Source organism: Homo sapiens, chromosome 11, assembly GCF_000001405.40.
Source record: "Homo sapiens chromosome 11, GRCh38.p14 Primary Assembly".
Lineage (NCBI taxonomy): Eukaryota > Metazoa > Chordata > Mammalia > Primates > Hominidae > Homo > Homo sapiens.
The window spans coordinates 93788955-93810543 of record NC_000011.10 but is presented as its reverse complement, the minus strand read 5'-3'; the positions used below and the strand labels follow the sequence as shown (position 1 = coordinate 93810543).

Here is a 21589-nt window from a genome sequence, read left to right as displayed (position 1 = left end):
TAAAAATACAAAAATTAGTTGGGTATGACGATGGGCACCTGTAGTCCCAGCTACTCGGGAGGCTGAGGCAGGAGAATCGCTTGAAACTGGGAGGCAGAGGTTGCAGTGAGCTGAGATCACGCCACTGAACTCCAGCCTGAGCGAAAGAGCGAGACTCCGTCTCAAAAATAAATAAATAGATAAAATAAAACAAAACACTTTATTTAAAATTATTTTTAATTATTTATTTTAGAATATTTTAAAAACTGTTACTATTTTTTTAATGTGAAAAAAGTAGTACCTTGCATTAGATATTCCTCTCTGTTCCATCCCTTTACTATTTTTAGGATCAGATATTTTTCTTCCCATGTTTACAGCAGTATATATTTTTTTTAAAGTTTTTATCCATTAAACTTTGGGACTGCAGGAGTAACAATGCTGATGATACTTTTCAGACTATCTCAGGAAAATGTGCTGCCAATCTAAACATTTATTATAATTACTAGAAAGAGAAATAATAATCTCTTGCTCTGCATAATAGCTATGATCAAATAAACATTCGGTGTAAATACAACATTAACTAATTTATTGCAGAGATAAATTACTCTTACCCATATTTAATTATTAAAACTAAATGTTAAAGCCAAACTCCCAATGGTCCCTTCTCATTCAAAGCAGCAGAAAGTACCTGAAATAGCATAGTCACCACTTGGGGAGGCCACCGTGATGGCAGATGCATTACCAATGCTCTCTATAGGTCCAAGTCCCACATGATTACTGAAGCTCAGTACTTGCCAGCCCATAACCTTGGCGAGTTGCTGAACTGCATGTACCTGGTGCTGTGACATCTGTGAATGAAAAAGGACACTTGACTGACAGTCAGCAGAGATATCTGCAGTGACTTAACATCACGACCATGAAGTAAACTTTTGTTGGGGTGCTCACTGACTACTACAGCAACCCTATCTTAGGTCTGAGGAATCCTCCTGTGCGTAACTTAGGGGGAGGGAATAGGACTCCACCTTCCACTGCCAAAGCTAAAGTTGCCTGATACTTGCTTCTCCTGCCCACTGGCAGCTTAAGCAAAGACATATGACATAAATTTGGCCAACTGAAGACTCTCATCTAGATCACTGAATATGGTGTAACATTTGCCCCTTCAAATCCACTGCCTACCTTATTTTCTGCCCTGGGAGGCTGACACACGTGGTTACATTAATACCTTCTTACATCCTCTGGCTTTGGGCTGGGTTCAGGTAATGGGAGACAGCAGGATGGCAGGGAAGAGTGAGGTCAGGGTATTTATTCCCCTGGCACCCTCCCTGTGAGGTTGTCTAGGCTGGTTGTATCTCTTGACTGGCTGCTAGGCTTCTCAAGATGGACTGTTCTACACGACTCTCCCCCTTAGGGTTCTTGTAATCTGTCCTTCCTCTTAACTTTGGCCTAGGAATGGTGACCACTAAGTCCCTGGGGCCTGGTTACCTGGTTACTACTACTAGCAGCAGGTTACCACACTATCCCTGGTGGCTCACCTACACCCACTTCTTTGTAAATAGATCTTTAGATCCTCCTGAGTCTGCCACCTATTTCTTGTTAAGACTCTGACTGATACAATGGGGGCAATTTAGAATGCATTTTGTCACCAGTGCTGAAGGCAGTAGTGCTGGGACAGCATGAGTGCCATTCCTCTGGCCATGGTTCTCATACCTAGCTTTGATCCCTATCCATTTGCAAGCCTTGTTCTCTAGACCTCCCATTGATTCTGGGACCTACTCAATAGTGTTCTAATATATTTTTGTGTGTGTGCTTAAAGTAACCAAAGCCAATTTAGATGTAATCAGCCAAGAGCTGCCATACCTAACAAATGAATTTTACTTACTTGGCCACCAAAGAAGCAAATCAGTATATAAGATTATTGCTTCTGAGATATAGGGTAGGTTTTTGAAATGCTAATGCAAGATACTATTTTTTTTAATGTGAAAAAAAAATAGTATCTTGCATTAGCATTTCAAAAACCTACCCTATATCTCACAATTCAGTATTTCACTGGGTCATTAAAAACTCCATGAAGAAATTAGGGAAAATACAGTTAGATATGAAAAGAAAGGGCTAGAAATTTGTCTGATGTCACAAAGCAAGTTTGTCGTAGAGCTGGGACTAGAACACATCACCTTTTTTTTTTTTTTTTTTTTTTTAAAAAGAGATGGTATCTTGCTCTGTCACCCTGGGCTGAAGTACAGTGGGACCAATTATAGCTCATTGTAACCTTGAACACCCAGGCTCAGGCAACCCTCCTGCCTCGGCCTCCCTAATAGCTATGACTATAGGTACATACCAACACACCCACTCAATTTTCTATTTTTGTGGAGACAGGGGTCTTGCTATGTTGCCCAGGCTGGTATTGAACTCCCAACCTGAAGTGATACTCTCGCTTCAGCCTCCCAAAGTGCTGGGATTATAGGCGCAAACCACCATACCCAGCCTCAAACCCATCACTTTCTATACTGCCCCTTGGACTTGAGATTAAACTACTTCATTTATTATGGATAATGGTCATTATAGTTTTTTATATGATCTCCCTTTCTCTAGTTTTCTTCACTTTCTACAACAACTCTGGAGATGTTGTAAACCCTAGAGATTTTGTAAACCTTCACAAATATGACATGTGGGAAAAAAAACTTGCTAGTCTCAGAACTGGTCCTTCATCTTAACATAAACTATGTGAAAACCTAGGACAGCTTATCAGTACTTCCAGTTAACCAACAGGTTGTAAAATGTGCATTAGAAATTAAACAGAATTTAATTTCTACTGGAAAAAAATTTTTTTTCTTCTTACACAATTTATTACATTTTAACTACTTTTTAACCAATTTGTTCTTTAAGTAGCTATGCGAAGAAGGGGGCTTAAGACAAAATCTGCAACTGTTACCTGAGACAGAAGAAAATCCTGTAGCTCCTGCTCCTGATAAGACAGTGTAATTACTCTTCCATCTCTATGTACAACTCGAATCTGCTCAACTCCAATATTCAATTGCAGTTGAATGGACCTTTATAGACACACATACTAAAAATCAGAGATGTTCAAAATTATCTTATACAATTTCATAAATAATAAACGTTAACATCAAATTAGAAAATATTATTATTTTTTAGACAAAGTCTCAAAGCCTGTTGCCCAGGCTGGAGTGCAGTGGCGTGATCTCAGCTCACTGCAACCTCCGCTTCCTGAGTTCAAGAGAGTCTCCTGCCTCAGCCTCCCAAGTAGCTGGGATTACAGGCACCTGCCATCATGCCCGGCTAATTTTTGTTATTTTTAGTAGAGACGGAATTTCACCATGTTGGCCAGGCTGGTCTCAAACTCCTGACCTGAAGTGATCTACCTGCCTCGGCCTCCCAAAGTGCTGGGATTACAGGCCTGAGCCACTGCACCCGGCCAAAAAAAAAAGTTTTAATAACCCACACCAACATCCATGGAGGAGATGCAGGTGTCTTCTTAGGTTCAACTAAACAGACTCACCCCAGAATACCATAGACCACACTGAGTACCAGTCTACCCAGAAGCATTTGAAGCGACCACAGCTTGCCAGCAGACCATGCAACTGTCTATATAGCAGCAGAATACCTTTGTTGCAAGGAGATGAGATCCAATTGGGTATATGTGGGCCCTGCCCTAACAGGAGCCATAAGCTTCTGTAACAACTCCATAGGCATGGTTTCCACAAGCCAAGCCCAGTTTTAAAAGTCACCACCATCCAGGAAAATCCAAAGGCATTCCCATCATTTATTTAAAATTTCTCCTGGTTCAGATGCATTTTACCAATTTGAGATCATTTTTACTATAAGCAATGTTGCCTAGTAATACTGATGACATCTTTCCTTATCAGGTTTCCAAGGGATGAGAGCCAGCGTTAACCAAGGAGCAAATTCTCGTACAGAAAGAGAAGCGGTTTTGTTAACTCTTTACCTTCTCTTACTGAAATAATCAGCAAACAAGTCAGAATATATATACTCCATTAATTTGGCTTAGGTCAAATAAAGAAACTCATACAATAGCCAGTAAATAACAAGCACATCACTGCACTCTTCCAAAGCAACTTCTAAAATTTCAGCATGTAATATGTCCAAGAAACTTGAAATCCCTAATAACCTAGATGAACAAAATGCAGGAAAAAACAGCTTTATGTCCTCTCACATTTAATAATGGCTCTTCCTTCTAGCTTTGTTTTAAAGCAAATATTTGAGAATAAAGCATTTTAGTGATTGTCTACATAAAATTGTAATAAAAAAAAATAAAGGCTGGGCACAGTGGCTCACGCCTGTAATCCCAGCACTTTGGGAGGCTGAGGCAGGCGGTCACAAGCTCAAGAGATCGAGACTATCCTGGCCAACATGGTGAAACCCCTACTAAAAATACAAAAATTAGGTGGGCGTGGTGGCACACATCTGTAGTCCCAGCTATTTGGGAGGCTGAGGCAGAATTGCTTGAACCCGGGAGGCAGAGGTTGCAGTGAGCCAAGATCACACTACTGCACTCCGATCTGGCGACAGAGCAAAACTCCATCTCAAAAAAAAAAAAAAAAAAAAAAAAAGAGACAGGGTCTTGCTATGTTGCCCAGGCTGGAAAGCAGTGGTTTTATCCATGGTGCCATCATAGCGCACTGCATCCTTGAAATCCTGACGTTGAGTGATCCTCCCGCCTCAGCCTCCTGAGAAGCTGGGACTTCAGGTGTGTGCAACCATGCCTGGCTTAAGTTGTAATTTTGATGTACTAAAGTTTACATTGTTTTCTCAAAGAAAAACGAAACTCAAAAGGCTTGAAGATATATTAATCTAACCAACATTTTAGAATTCTTTTCTTAAAACAAGGTGTGAAGGAACAGGGTTTCTTATCACTCACTATTGGTGAATGCATACTTGTGGCAACCACTTTGAAAAACAATTTGGTAGTACTAATTAAAAATTTAAATGTCCTTATCTTTTTTTTGAGACAGGATCTCACTCTATCACCCAGGCTGGAGGGCAGTGGCACAATCTCAGCTCACTGTAACCTCTGTCTCCTGGGTTCAAATGATTCTCCCACTTCAGTCTCCCAAGTAGCTGGGACTACAGGCATGTACCACCACACCCAGCTAATTTTTGTTTTTAGTAGGGACAGGGTTTCATCATGTTGGCCAGGCTGGGCTTGAACTCCTGGCCTCAAGTGCTCCGCCCAAAATGCTGGGGATACAGGCATGAGCCACTGTGCCCAGCCAAATGTCCTTCTCTTTTAACCCAGCAATTATACTTGTAGGACTTTACCCTATAAATGGATAGACCTGTGTATGTACAAATTATTTTCCTGGTACTCGACAAAAATGTTCAACAACAGAAGACCGATTAACAGTGTGGGACATACAATGAAATACAAAAAGGCTGTAAGAAAAAAATGAGGTAGATCTATGTGCTAACAAAATAATGTTTACTCACTCATATATGACTACTGAGCAATAAATTATTCATTATGTGTCTTGTCTGCATTTCTGGACCTTATGGCCACATGAATAATTTTAACTGAGAAGAATGCAGAATAATCCACATATTTTAAACCTTATTAAAATAGTCCACATAAAAAGGGTCTACTACTCTGTAAAGCATTTCCTGTATATAGTTTTTCCTAATTGATCCCATTGTATTCTGATCATTAAGCCTACCTGCATAAGTTGAACTAAAACACTACTGAGTTTAAAAATCACGTAAATTACAAATGACTGCTAATATGTAGAGTTTCTTTTTGGGGTGATGGAAATGTTCAATAATTAGACGATGATGGTTATACAACATAGGGAATATACTAAAGACCACTGAACTGTGTCCACTTTAAAATGGTGAATTTTGTTATGTGTATTATGTTGCTAGAAAGCATACAAAACTCTGTAAGACAGGTAGGGTTACATAACTTCTACATGCATATGTAAAAAAAAAGTTTTTAAAGAGAGGTCGGTTACAGGAACAGGTAGGATATATATGCTTGTAAATACATAGACTTTCCTAGAAAGATGTGTAAGAAACTGTTTTAAATGATTGATCCAAAGGAATTCTGATAATTATTTTCAACTTTCAATAGCCTAAGTTGAGCCCAGCTGTGATGGTTAACACTGTCAACTTGATTGGATTGAAGGATACAAAGTACTGGTCCTAGGTGTGTCTGTGAGGGTGCAAAGGAGATTAACATTTAAGTCAGTGGGCTGGGAAAGGCAGACCCACCCTTAATCTGGGTGGGCACCATCTAATCAGCTGCCAGTGGGGCTAGAATATAAACAGGCAGAAAAACGTGAAAAGAGACACTGGCCTAGCCTCCCAGCCTACATCTTTCTCTCGTGCTGGATGCTTCTTGCCCTTGAACAACAGACTCCAGGTTCTTTAGTTTTGGAACTTGGACTGACTCTCCTTGCTTCTCAGCCGGCAGATGGCCTATTGTGGGACCTTCTGATCCTGTGAGTTAATACTTAATAAACTCCCCTTTATGTGTGTGTGTGTGCGTGTGTATATGTGTGTGTGTATATATATATATATATATATATATATACACACACATATATACACACACACACACATATACACACATACACATTCCATTAGTTCTGTCCCTCTAGAGAACCCTAATACACGAGCTATAGAAGATGAGGAAAAGGGCATTCTACTACTGCCTTCTACTTCTCCTTCACTCCTGATTCTGTCAAGGCTACATCATCACTAATCTTTCTTTGTGGAAGTTTACAACGTTTAGATTGGGACCTGTAACCATAATCCCAGTTTTAGTCTTAGTTCTAAGTCTAAACAATTCAATGATGATAATTTTCTCTTTTCTTTTCCATTGCACTCAGTCTCTCTTTTTACTATGGAAAATTTTAAACACAAACAGTAGGAGGGCAAAAGGCTTACTGGCAAATAAATAATAAACACCAACAGAAGTATAATATAATGAAAGCCTATAATCCCATCACCCATTCTTAAGTTAAAAATGCAATCCAAACTTGTTTCATCTATGTTTAACACCTACTTTCTCCCAATCCACCCTCAAATCACCCCAATTATTTTATTCTTTCTTTAGATAAGGGGAAGAAAACTCTATGACTCTACTTTATTCCATCATCTTTCTCTGGAAGTTTCAGGACTAGTTTCCTGTCCATTGTGTATTCTTTCATACTCTGCATCTGCTCTCACACTTATCTACTATGTTTTCATTTTTTAAGTGAATTAAAACCTCTGCATTAAAAATAGTATTATATTGGAAATGACTGTACATAGGAAAAATCAAAAAGAAAGAAAACAATAGCATTATAAATGTATTTTTCTGCCCCTACTCCTAAGGGTCGTTATTTTGTGTTTCACAGTATGCTTTGCTTTACTGTGGCTAGTTACGTCTGCTGAAATAAAGCAACTAAGGGTATCGTAGTGCACACCTGTAGTCCCAGCTACACAGGAGGGTGAAGCAGGAGGACTGCTTGAGCCCAAGAGTTTGAGATCAGCCTGGACAACAGCATTGTGAGACGCCATCTCAAAAACACAAACTGAGACAAAAAGGAAATAAAGCAACTAACACTTTAAAAATAAAATGTAGTCACAGACCCTGACAAATGTCAGGTGTTAAATTTCAAAAAGGCTCAAAAGGTAGGCCAAAAAGTCCTTAAAGGCTACTGGCCAATTGCATTAACTTGTGATTTGTGAATGTAAATCAAGTAGACTGCATTCCTATGAAGCCTGGGGACAAAAACCATCTTACCTCCTTCACAGACACACAGTTATCAACCCAGTTTTTAGGGCATAATCATGAACTTGATTAGACCCAGGATCAACACCAGGTCATGAGAACTATAAAACTTGGGTTATTTTAGGCATAACATGGAGAGTATAGGCTAGAATACAAATGGCCCTATTCACTTCAAATATACTAGACCTGCCATAACCATTAGGCAAGAACTGAAGCAGACCTGGAATCTCAAAAGGTAAGGCAGCCTTCTGCTCAGTGCCGGGGTTCATTGTTTACCCCAGCTCAAATATGTGACATTTACTTAATAAAGACTAGTTTTTAGACATTGTTACCTCTCATTCTTACAATGTTTAAAAACAGACTTTATGAATTTTCTCCTAAGAACTAATTGCCATCAAAAAAACAAAAAAACAAGGGCCGGGAGTGGTGGCTCATGCCTGTAATCCCAGCACTTTGGGAGGCCAAGACAGCAGGATTGCTGGAGTCCAGGAGTTCAAGACCAGCATGGGCAACATAGACATGTTTCTTAAAAAAAATTTTTTTAATTAGCTGGGCATGGGGGCACATGCCTATAGTCCCAGCTACTCAGGAGGTTGAGGCAAAAGAATTCCTTGAACCCCGGAGCTCAAGGCTGTAGTCAGATATGATCATCACTGCACTCCAACCTGGGTAAAAGAGTGAGACTCCACCTATTAAAAAAAAAAACACTCTACAGCTTATATAATTTACAGAAATATTATGCCACCCTAGCAAATAAAAACCAAATGCTTAATATAATTACTCAGCAAACATCAATAGCAAATTAACATATTAAATACAAAACTTTTATTTTGGCCACTTACTTGCATATTTGTTCATAGCCTTGTGATGTGATTAAAACTTTCACACTAGATTCATAAACATCATTGATATTTGACCAATGAGCCTGTATCTGAGGATCCTCAATTCGGCTTGCTAAGCTGTCAATGGTTGCAGCAGCTCTTTTAAATACAAGAAGTTAAAAAACTTTTTAAGTCACCATACAAAATGATAGGAATATAAATGATTCGAAAATTTTATGAAAATTTTAAAACTAACTACTTTTTTAAACTACCACTATGTGTAGGCAGACTTTAAATAAAGGCAGAGGTAGCTCTAAGAACCCTTTCATACTGCTTGAATGTGTAGGTTCTCAGCTTGACATTACAATACACTCTCATCACACACCCCTGATTATCATGATTCATGATGGGTTTATTCCCTTTAACTCTATTCATTTTCTTCCACTCAGAAAAGCTTATCAGGAAATGAGTGAGAAGGATATTCGATATTCTACGGTATAAACCTAATATAAATCATTCATAAATGTCAGTACTTGATCCCTGGTAACAAATGACTTGGGACACACCCACATCTAGACCCATTACTGTAATGAAATTATAATCATATTCAAGAGAAGCTAGAGATTTTTTGCACAATCAAATCCTTATACTCCAAAAAAAGAAAACTATCAATACCAATGAGAAATAAGATTTATCAAGTGTTCATTATACAGCATGCATTATAACAAGAGCTTTCATGAATTATATCATTTAATCTTACTAACATATCATTTAATCTTAACCTTATTAGGTAGGCACTATTATTTCCATTTTTTAAACAGAAAAAACTTTAGCAATGTTAAGCAATTTGCCCAAGGTCACATAGCTATAAACTGGGATACAAAACCTGGGAGTCTAAATCCAGAGCCAAAAACCTGGGAATCCAATTCCAAAGCCAGTAATCTTATACACACTAATCAACAGCCAACACTTAGAACCAAAGCATAAATCATTTAAATTAACCAAACCCTCAGTTTCTAATTATCTGATTTTTAGCACTTTACTGGAAAGAGAAAGAAAGGCCTGGAAGTGGCTCACACCTGTAATCAAAACACTTTGGGAGGACAAGGAGGGACGATCGCTTGATACCAGGAGTTCAAAACAAACCTGAGCAACATATCGACAACCAGTCTCTATAAATAAAAAAAAAATAAGCTGGGCACAGTGGCGTGCACGAGTAGTCCCTGCTACTCAAAAGACTAAGGCAGGAAGATCACTTGAACCCAGCAGTTCCAGGTTACAGTGAGCTATGACTCCACCACTGCACTGCACTCCAGTCTAAGCCAGAGTAAGATGCTGTCTCAAATTTTTTTTTTTTTTTTTTTTGAGACAAAGTCTCACTCTATCACCCAGGATGGAGTGCAGTGGTGCAATCTCAGCTCACTGCAACCTCCACCTTCCAGGTTCAAGTGATTCTCCTGCCTCAGCCTCCCGAGTAGCTGGGACTACAGGCGTGTGCCACCACGCCTGGCTAATTTTTCTATTTTTAGTAGAAACGAGGTTTCGCCATGTTGGCCAGGCTGGTGTAGAACTCCTGACCTCAAGTGATCTGCCCTCCTTGGCCTCTCAAAGTGCTAGGATTACAGGCATGAGCCACCATGCCACGCCTCACCTCAAAATTAAAAAAATAATAATAAAAATAAATTTAATTTTAAAAGACAATGGGAAGAAATGAGAAGAGCCAGTGGGGACAAGGGGCTTTTACATTAATAGACTTAGGGTTTGGTCTGCTGCTGCAGTACCGGCTTCTTACAATACATTCTGAAATTTATTTTCCTTTTTCCTTGATGTGTTTCCCTGACAGTGCTTCATAATTCCTATAGAAGGTAAGTATGTGTGTGAGCATTACGAGAACCATTAAACTGGAAATAAAATTATCTAGCAATGGAAAATTGGGAAAAGAAATCATGAAGTATTTACATTATAGGATATTATACAGCTATTAAAATAGATGAAAAAATTTACAATACAATATTAAATGAATGCAAGGTAAAAAATTTGTTTGTTTTGGTGTCACCCCTGAGGTATGAACTCAGAAGGATATAAAATTTTATAAACTCCGATTTTTCTTTAAAGACACACACACACACTCTGACACATACACATAAAAATATATTAGCATGTCAAGAGATCTCACTGTGCATGTTATCATACACATCAGTCTTTTTGTCTTTTTTAAGACATGGTTTCACTCTGTCATCCCAACTGGAGTGTAGCGGGGTGTGATCACAGCTCACTGCAGCCTCAACATCCCAGGCTCATGCAATCCTCCAGCCTCAGCCTCCCAAGTAGCTGGGACTACAGGTGCACACCACCACATCTGGCTAATTTTTTTTATTTTTTTGTAGAGATGGGCCATGTTGCCCAGGCAGGTCTCAAACTCCTGGACTTGAGGGATCTGCCCAGCCTCCCTGAGTGCTGAGTTTACAGGCATGAGCCACCACACCAAGCCCAGCTACTTTTTTTAAAAAGGCTTCCTGGCCAGGCACGGTGGCCCACGCCTGTAATCCCAGCACTTTGGGAGGCCAAGGTGGGTGGATCACTTGAGGTCAGGAGTTCGGGACCAGCCTGGCCAACATGGTGAAACCCCAACTCTACTAAAAATACAAAAATGAGCCAGGCATGGTGGCGCACACTTGTAATCCCAAATACTTGGGAGGCTGAGGCGGGATGATCGCTTGAACCCGAGAGGCAGAGCTTGCAGTGAGCTGCACCACTGCACTCCAGCCTGGGTGACACAGTGAGACTTCGTCTCAAAAAAAAAAAAAAAAAAAAATTTCTTGTAGAGACAAGGTCTCACTATGTTGCCCAGGCTGGTCTCAAACTCCTGGGCTCAAGCAAGCTTCCCATCTTGGCCTCCTAAAGTGTAGGGACTACAGGGGTGAGCCACCATGCCCAGACAGGGTCTTTTTTTCTTCACTAAGCTTTTTGTACACCAGGAAGAAGTAAAAGTTTTAAAGCTTTGCTGCTTCCAAGGCTACACTTACTACTCTGAAATTTATAATGGTTATAAAAATAGCTGTTTTTATGCTGATCATTTATTTGGGGAATATTTAAATTTATGGTCAATCAGAAATTTGCAAGACTAACGATCTACTCAAATTATCAGCTTTTTAAGTTGAACTGTATTAATGGTAAGAAACAGTAACCTATCATATAATGCTTTATTACTTATAAGAAACTTCTACATACATCATTTAATATGACCCTAAGACCCCACTCCTATACCTGCTATTGACGGGAATAAGTGGGGGACCATAGACACTAAATCCCTTGCTCGAAGTTATTTAGCAAGTGGTTGAGCCTTGGCTTACACACCTTTCACCCCTAGTCCCCTACTCCTTTCACTGCCTCATGCTGTCTTCTCTAACGTGTCTCCCCAATTCCTTTTACTAAAAGCTGAAGGACCTAAATTTCCACTTTAAGACTACAAACTAATGTACTAAAAAAAACTGTATTAACAAGAAAAAAACTGGAAATCAAAAATAAAATATCATCTATTTAATGACAATGCCCATGCCTGAAATTCTGGAGTACTACCAAGGCATAATTACAAATGAAGTAAAAAACAGGCCTTTTCACTAAGTACCAATAATAAAATAGAAAAGCACCCTTTAGCACTGAAAAAGATACATTTATATGTAATCATGCCACGTTATTTTGTAAGCAGTGTATATAAAGGAAAAAAAAGAGCTTTGGCGTTACATAGACCTGGGCATAAATCCTCGTTCTGCAACTTTTTAGCTGTGTAACCTTGAGCAAGGTGCATAACTTCTTTAAGCCTCAATCTTATCAGTAAAAACAGGGTTAACACTACCTGCCGCAAAGAACAAAGATTAAATAAGTTAACATAAGGAAAGTGCCCTCCAAACTCTAAAATGTGCAAGAAACAAAAAATACAGAAACCCTCAAGAAAAAGATGTAAATCAGTTCAGAAATAAGTATCTCACGGCTGGGTTACTGAAGAAAGTATGGTGTTGTAAGGCACATTCCTAGTCAGTTGTCTTTGCAAAAAAGTGACAGTGTTAGAAAGAATACACTGTTAGATCAGAAGTGGATCTAAGTCTTCCCCAGACTTGACAGGACCCAGTCTATGACCGCAAATAAACTCTTACCACCTCCTCTCCCTAAAATAAAAAAGTCAAAAGCATCCCAAAAAAGTGTTATGAAATAACAGAAGAAAACACTGCAATTTCAAAGAAAAAACAGAAAACAGTAACTTTCTTCAACCTTACCTACTCCTTAGAAAAATATGCTTTGCTTGTTTAATTATTTTTTCCAGAAGCCCTTCACTGGACTGTAATGAATTAATTTCATTTTTATCAAAAGCTTGAGGACCCGAAAGTCTCATTCTCTTGTGGCCAAAAGGTGCACTTGCTGGATGAGGCATCATGATGGAACTCAAGGTCTGTTTATGAAACTAACAAAAACAGCCATTTTAAATACCAATATCCACATAGTAAATGCTACATAATATTTAGTCAAAACATGGTTGACAGAAACACTGAAAGGAATGGATTTGAACCACATATGAAAACAATCCAACCTTGGAGAAAAATGCTAGCAACTACTAGGTCACACATAATGCAAGACTGTAAAGAGAAGGGTCGCTCTCAAGCTGTAACTTTTTTCCTTTTCTCATGTCAGATGGGTAATGCGCCGACATCCTAATAAGGTTTGAGGGAGTCACAACTCATGCATAAGCATGAAAGCCCAATCATGCTTTTGAACCACAAAAGGATCTCAAGCTTTAATTTTTATTTTACAAGTTTTAAAATGTAAAACAATCCTCTTCACTGAGTCTCATAAATAGAACGCATGCAATCAGTAAATAGTTCTTTCACTATACCCTAGATTAGAGGTTCCCAAACCCGGCTGCCTATCTGAACCTCCTAAGGAGCTTTTTAAAAACAACTCTTGCATCATCACAATCAACTGAACCAGGTTTTGGGGTGGGGCAAGGGAGGCTGTAATATATAATTCTATGAAATTTCACAGGATATTCTTTTGAAATTACCCTGGCCTGTGAACCAGCTCCCTGTAAACAGTTGTAGATGATCTGTAAGTAGAACATGTCCTAAAATAAAACTAGTCTGTTCACAGACTCTGGCAAGACATTTTCCCTTAACTCCCCCGGTCAGAATCACCCTTCCCTCTGCACTTTAGCATCATGTTTCTTACACCTCTACTTGAAAACCTGTGTATCTCTACCACTAGAAGGTATGTTTGGGAACAGGGACAGTATTGTGATTATCTCTGTATTCCCCTAGCACACAGCAAGGATCTTTCACATCAGACAGTGAATGTTGTTGCTATGTGAATAATCAAGACTCAGCAGACGAGAGGAGCTTTGTGCATACTCACTGCCCTGGACATACTCACCACAGCGCAAAGAAAAACATTTATTTCCTTACCTCTCTAATCAGTAGATGCAAATTATGCTCTAGGACATAAAGGTGGTCCTCCGGACATTGCTTCTCAGTAGCAAATTTTTGGGATTTCTTATCATTTGAGGAATGGCACAAAGAAATAGATAACTGCAAGCCTATTTATAAAAAGAAGGAGGACATATGTAAATAACCTGAAATATGGAAAGGCATAAACTGTCTTCATAAAGTATAATCATAGTTCATTTTCAAAAGATATATTCTAAACTTGAAGATCAGACCTCATGATTAACATCTGTATATCAAGATTACTATTTGGCCGGGTGCGGTGGCTCACGCCTGCAATCCCAGCATGTTGGGAGGCCAAGGTGGGTGGATCACAAGGTCAGGGGATTGAGACCATCCTGGCCAACATAGTGAAACCCCATCTCTACTAAAAACACAAAAAAAATTAGCTGGGCATGGTGGCGTGTGCCTGTAGTCCCAGCTGCTTGGGAGGCTGAGGCAGGAGAATTGCTTGGACCCGGGAAGTGGACAGGTTGCAGTGAGCCAAGATCACGCCATTGCACTCCAGCCTGGACAACAAAACGGAAACTTCATCTCAAAAAAAAAAAAAAACTATTCATGAATATAATAAGCTACCACGTATTTTAACAATTCAAATTCTGTTGACACATAATATGGCTGCTGCCCTTGAACTGGCTAAAGACTGGTGAAAAAGCTATATATTAATTTGTTTTTTCCTTTAAAATAAGAGTAGGTAGGCAGTCTTACTGCGTAAAAGACAGTTAGTCTTCCCTGCTCCCATGAGAAGTAGGATGGAATTTCTCACCACTAAAACCTACTTCCTTCTAAGACGACAGTCCTTAGAATTTATGTAAAAAACAAGTGCAAAGCTAAATACAAACTGATCTCCAGGGCAAGTCTACCTGCTTTTGAATAATATAATTAAAATCCAGTTTCTATAAATTTGAGACTATTACGAGTAAACTCTTTTTTTTTTTTTTAATTTGTTTGTTTGTTTGTTTTAGTAGAAATGGGATTTCACCACGTTGGCCAGGCTGGTCTCAAACTCCTGACCCCAGGTGATATGCCCGCCTCGGCCTCCCATAGTGCTGGGATGACAGGCGTTAAGAGTAAACATTTTTAAATTGGCCTCTCATTTAGATAATAAGGCAGGATCCCTGAAAAAATCTCCCTCAAAGCAACTGTTGCTAAATAACTATAGCTATGCTAGTGCAAATTTTCTTTTCTCTTGACCACAATAATGACTACATAAGTGCAAATTTTTAATATGTAGCTTAAAAATCCAAGGGTCACACTATTTAGGACAGAACAGATTCCACAGTATAGTTTGTGTTACATGCTTTACTGGCTGTCACTATGGATAGCACACTATTTCTTTGCTCTCATTATTCTCCCAATACACCCTAAGAGCTACCTTCTCTGTCCTAGTCCCCCAAAACACAAAGTCCTGTTCATAAAGTCGAAAAAGGGCTGCTCTTACTCGGAAAGGGCTGAGAGATAATCTGGTTTTTCACCACAATGTGAGGGACTTGTGATTTAATTTGAACAGCTTCCCGAGAGAGCTGTGCAAAAATTTCTTTACATAAGAGAACATTCTGTGCCGCTTCTAATTTTGTCTGCCAATGTGGGGAACCTGAAAGACAAGAAATATATGTATCAATTATCTAACCATATTATGCATTAACTAGTTTAAATGGTGATCTGAATACATATGACAAAAGTTTAGGAAAACACTACATTACGGTATATTCTTTTTTTTCCTATTCAGTCTCTATAGAGACTGTCAAAAATTGCCAATGCCAACTGTGTTACAAATCATCCCGGCAGGGTATTGAGAAGTTCCCCACCACCCCAATCTTTCATTCCTGAAGAGGAAAGTTTAAATTCCTGTAGAGGGAAGTATCAATTAGCAATAATCATGCCACAGATAAACCTCACTGGGTTTGATACTGCCACTGTGCAAAGCTATATTCTTTCCAAAATATAAAAATCTCACTTCTTTAACACAAAAAACCAGTAAATAAGTCCAATCTTAAAAAAAGGTGCTGGTGGCTCATGCCTGTAATCCTAGCACTTTGGGAGGCTAAGGCGGGTGGATTACCTGAGGTTGGGTGTTCGAGACCAGCCTGACCAACATGGAGAAACCCCATCTCTACTAAAAATACAAAATTAGCCAGGAATGGTGGCGCATGCCTGTAATCCCAGCTACTCGGGAGGCTGAGGCAGGAGAATCGCTTGAACCTGGGAGGTAGACGTTGCGGTGAGCCGAGACTGCGCCATTGCACTCTAGCCTGGGCAACAAGAGAGAAACTTGGTCTCAAAAAAAAAAAAAAAAAAAAAATTGCACAGCTATTCACTAATAGTTTATTGATAAATTTTAGAAGTATATTTTGAATTGTTCTTACTTCAAACTATCTATTTTTTCCTACCTATATTTATCTTCAGTTTATTTTAAAATGTCAGCTCAAATAAGACCAGAAATTAGAGAATAGAACATAACCATACCTGGTTTGGATTTGGGCAAAGGTCGTTTGAAGAGGTTAACTGTGCCGAGGTCACCTATATCTGGAGCCTGTTTTTGTATTGAAACCTATATGACAACAAAAACAAAAAAAGTTAACAAATTAACTTCAGGCTATTCGTAAGAAATTACTTGAAAAATATTTTGACAAATACCTTGATATATGCAGACCCCTCTAAATCACTAGGAATTTGGACATCAAGAGGACAGTAATCTTCAGGTATCTTTTTATCCAGATCGAGATCTGTATTCTTTATTACTTCAAATGTACCATGATGAGGAAAGAGAGATCCTAATGTTGTATTAAAAATAGGAAAATATAAAACAGTTAACATATTATTCCGACACACATTATTAAATATATAATACTTCACATCCACATCACTGAATCACAAAGTAAGTCCCCACTAAAAAACATATGTTTTGGGGGAAAAGGGTGAGGAATGGTGAACAAAGGAAAGAAAGATAAAGGTGGGGGGTGGTTATTTACCTTAAAAAAAAAAAACACTTCTTAGTCTAATGACATCAACATAATAAGAATTCCACAGAAAATCCAAATTGTTTTATTCCAATGGAGTATTGATAAAAATGGGTGTACTCACAGGGCAGGCATGGTGGCTCATGCCTGTAATCCCAGCACTTTGGGAGGACGAGGCGGATGGATCACCTGAGGTCAGGAGTTCAAGACCAGCCAAGACCAACATGGAGAAATCCCCATCTCTACTAAAAATACAAAATTAACTGGGCGTGGTGGCACATGCCTGTAATCCCAGCTACTGAGGAGGCTAAGGCAGAATTGCTTGAACCCGGGAGATGGAGGTTGTGGTGAGCTGAGATCGCGCCATTGCCCTCTAGCCTGGGCAACAAGAGCGAAACTCTGTCTCAAAAAAAAAAAAAAAAAAAAAGAGGTGTACTCCTAGAAATGAAACCTTGGGGATGAAATACTTCTGGAGCTTAGCCTCTCTACTAAGGTTTCAACTAAGTGCTCTGCATCCAACAACAGAAAGACAGAGGATAGTGCACATAACATCTTTTTTTCAACCAGTTTCCTAGATTTTTTATTTTTTATTATCTTTTTAGAGACAAGGTCTCCCTCTGTCTTCCAGGCTGCAGTGTGGTGGTGTAATCATAGCTCACTGCAGCCTCAAACTCCTAGGATTTAACAATCCTCCCACTTCAGCCTCCCAAGTAACTAGGACTGCAGGTACATGCCATCACACCCAGCTAATTTTTAAGTTTTTTTTCTTAGAGATAGGGTCTATGTTGTTCAGTCTGGTTTTGAACTCCTGGGCTCAAGCAATCCTCCCACCTTGGCCTCCCAAAGTGCTGAGATTACAGGTGTGAGCCCCCATGCCCAGCCCAGTTCCTAGATTTTATGTGATGTGTTTTTGTGTAGGTCAGGAGTTTGGGTAAGTTGTTCTGGGCCATTGAATTACATAAGAAATAGGTGGTTCAATGTAACTGGTTTTATAACAAGGGAAGATGCTAAAGATTTTCTTGCAATTAAAAACAATGTGATCAAATCCTTTCATAATCATGAGTGACTACCCCAAAGAAAGAATTAAAGTTCTTGCACACAAATTATTTGTGGAAAAGAAAATGCCCAAAACCAGAAAGCACTGCTTCTACAGACCACCTATTAAAATTTTTAAATGGTCTTGTCATCTTTAATTCATCTTTATAATGAGATTTAACCTTCAGGATTCAAAATAACCCAACTAATATCAATGCTGAAGCATGTCAGTCCTCCAGTATTTGACTTAACCACCTTAACCTTTTTTTAATTTTAGGATAATGATAGCTTACTCTGGCAAATGAATCTTTCAGATATCACTCTACCATTATCTCAACGATCAAAGCCAAGACTTCTTGCCTCCTCCCCTGATATTCACAGCTTCTACCCCATTGAGCTATGAAGTTTTTCCATATAGCCAGCCCGCTGACTGCCTCAGCAGCTTATAAAACATTGCCATTATTACCTTGTAAAACCTACTATTTATTATAGCTCAACGACTAAGAATTTATACCAAAAAATATGAAGTCAACATCATCAAACTTTAGTATGCCCCCAAAAGTTGCATTCCCTAAGTTAGTGCTGTAGCCCTAGTTTGGTGGGAAAAAGGAAAGCAAACCTTTTTGCCACCCTTTCTCTTCACTCAGGACATAAAAACAGCTGAGCAGATTAATGGGAAAAGAAAGGGCAAAGAATAGAAAGTTTCTTTCCTCCTTTCATGTCGAGTTTTTTTGTTTGTTTGTTTTAATTCTCAGAAGAACACTGAGAATTGCATCATGTCCAGTTTTCGTTTGGTTTTTTTTGGGGTTTTTTTTGAGACAAGGTCAGGCTGGAATGCAGTGGTGCAATCTCGGCTCACTGCAGCCAGGACCTCCTGGGCTCAAGGGATCATCCTGCCTCAGCCTCCTGAGTAGCTGGGACTAACAGGTATGCAACACCACGCCCAGCTAATTTTTGTATTTTTTGTAGAGATGAAGTTTTGCCATGTTGCCCAGGCTGGTATCGAATTCCTAAGCTCAAGCAATCTGCCCACCTCAGCCTCCCAAAGTGCTAGGATTACAGGTGTGAGCCACTGCACCCCGCCATGTTCAGTTTTTAAGGGTTACAGGTAAGGCCTTGATTGAGGAGTGTAGTTCTACCTCATTTCTAACTAAAAAGTCAATTATGCTTCAAGGTGTGTCAGCACATAAACCCCATCTTTGAACTTTCTGTTAAGTGTACCTAAAAGGTTTTGAAATAGAAACTAGGCTATTTATTATAAGGTTCTGATAAGAGTGGTTTTGGCTTATATGAACAGAAATTAAAATTTTGAAACGTAACACATAGCTGAGAAATAATACATTATAGAAGGATGTTTAACATTATACTTACACAGAAAGCATTGTTTTTGTTTGTGTTTTTGAGAGAGTCTCGCTCTGTCCCCCATGCTGGAGAGCAATGGTGCGATCTTGGCTCACTGCAACCTCCACCTCCTGGGTTCAAGCAATTCTCATGCCTCAGCCTCCCAAGTAGCTAGGATTACAGGTGCGTGTTACCACGCCTGGCTAATTTTTTGCATTTTTGGTAGAGATAGGGTTTTGCCATGTTGCCTGGGCTCATCTTGAACTCCTGGCCTCAAGTGATCCAACTGCCTTGGCCTTCCAAAGTGCTAGGATTACACGCATGAGCCACCACACCTGGCCAGAAAGTATAGTTTTTAATAATTATTCATACCTGCACTTCTGTAGCTCAGATCTCCGAGAATTTTATCTCCAACTTTTCGAAGTTTCCAGTGTTGCCGTAATCGCAAAAGCTCAGAATTGAAGTCTCTTTGTAGCTTGTTTTCTTGGTTTTCGGTAACTGATTTAGTCAGTCTTTCTGCCCCCTTCAATAAGATTTGTGCTGCTCCAGCAAGTGACTTCTTTTTAGATATCAATTGCAACGTCTGAGGATTCTGTCAAAAACAACCCAAACATGCAGTTCTGCAGGATTTTTAAATGACTCTAAAATTACACATTTTATCAATAATAAAATGAAGTGAACAAAAAGCAAAAAGGAGGGGCAAGTACACATAACAGTGTTTTTAATAAAATAATAACCTTAACCTATTTCTTTGTCCAACTCACTCAAAGCTTTACTTATGTTAAACCAAAAACACTACAATGGCCTCTACTCAGAACTTACCATTGCATCAACTCTGTCCAGCCTGTTAGGGTCCCCTCTTAATGTACTGCCATTCCTCTCCTTATATATTGCCAGCCCCCTATCCTGTACATACACACATATAGTTATATATAACCTTTTTGGCACTCATTATACTTCTGATTAACATCTATAATCTCTGCTTCAATGGTAACCTGCATGATGGCAGAAATCACTATATCCACAAACCCTAGAACAATGCCTGGCACATAATATTTGATTTAATGAATGAATGAATGACTGCAATGGGTATAACTGTAAAATTATCTTGTATTTTGTAGCTTACCATATTTTGCATCTTACCATAAGCTATTAAAGTGCTTTTGGAATTAGGACTAAAATCACACAGCATTAACTTTTTTTCTTTTGAGATGGAGTCTTGTTCTGTCACCCAGTCTAGAATGCAGTACCACCATCTTGGCTCACCATAGCCTTGACCTACTGGCTCAAGTGATCCTCCTGCTTCAGCTTCTTGAGAAGCTGGGACTCCAGATGTGCAACACCAAGCCTGGCTTTTTTTTTTTTTTTTGGTAGAGACAGGGTCTTGCTATGTTGCCTGGGAAAGTCTCAAACTCCTGGCTTCCTGCTTTGGTTCCCCAAAGTGTTGGAATTACAGGCATAAGCCACCGTGCCCTGCCATTGTTAATATTAAATGTACTTCACTGAATCCTAATTTTTTGGAAAACTGATCAGAAGTCACTATCTATGTATCACATATGCATATATAAATATCCACAATCACCATAATTTGTGTATTTTACTAACCAGTTTAATACAGTTTTCTGGCTGTATGAGAGTCAAAAATCACATAAAAAGCTTCATAAACATATCAAAATAATCTTTTGATTGTATTAGGGAACGTAAATAAAAGAGTTCCTGGAGATATTAAGAAATTCCTGGAGACTCCCTTCTGGGAAAAGCACAGAATAGTAGAAAAGGCAGTGGGGCTATGAGTTAGGTGCTGGAGTTCTAGTCTTGGCTCCCTAACTACTGGCTTGACAGCAACTTGAACATATTACAAATCTCTTTAAGCTTTAGTTTTCTCTCTATAAAATGAAGAATGCAGATTTAGGGAACTCTATTAGTCCCCCAGCACAATGTTTCTAGATTCTGAAACTATTACTATGTGAGTAATTCTATTCAATTAATTTTATTTACAAATGGGTTCTAACAGTCATTACTTCTTCTCCATGACTAATTTGGTTATGGTCTTGACACTTGTTTTCCTTAAGGACCCAAGTAGCCTCAATGATTTCAGACTATTCACCAACTCATCTTCCTGCTACTTCTCTTTCATCTTCAAATGTTCAAAAATTGAATACACTGTTTATGAAATAGCAGCAATTCTACCCAGCTCTCAATATGCTCCAT

General features: G+C 39.0%; 1 protein-coding gene, 1 non-coding gene and 1 pseudogene across 2 annotated transcripts in view; all 3 read right to left on the bottom strand.

The window, feature by feature from the left end:
• MED17 (mediator complex subunit 17) overlaps positions 1–21589 on the bottom strand; it is a 30682-nt gene that overhangs the window by 4420 nt on the left and 4673 nt on the right. The window contains exons 3-11 of the mRNA NM_004268.5: positions 19751–19970; positions 16680–16816; positions 16509–16593; positions 15484–15636; positions 14004–14134; positions 12825–13009; positions 8572–8709; positions 2909–3026; positions 668–827 (exon numbers count right to left, since the gene is read on the bottom strand). Coding sequence (NP_004259.3) covers positions 668–827; positions 2909–3026; positions 8572–8709; positions 12825–13009; positions 14004–14134; positions 15484–15636; positions 16509–16593; positions 16680–16816; positions 19751–19970 — 1327 coding nt within the window. The remainder of the gene's footprint in view (positions 1–667; positions 828–2908; positions 3027–8571; positions 8710–12824; positions 13010–14003; positions 14135–15483; positions 15637–16508; positions 16594–16679; positions 16817–19750; positions 19971–21589) is intronic.
• LOC124902836 (small nucleolar RNA U13) lies at positions 13231–13331 on the bottom strand. The gene has a single exon (XR_007063021.1). It is a non-coding gene; the product is annotated as a small nucleolar RNA U13 (small nucleolar RNA).
• Positions 15772–15970, bottom strand: LOC124902851 (uncharacterized; annotated as a pseudogene).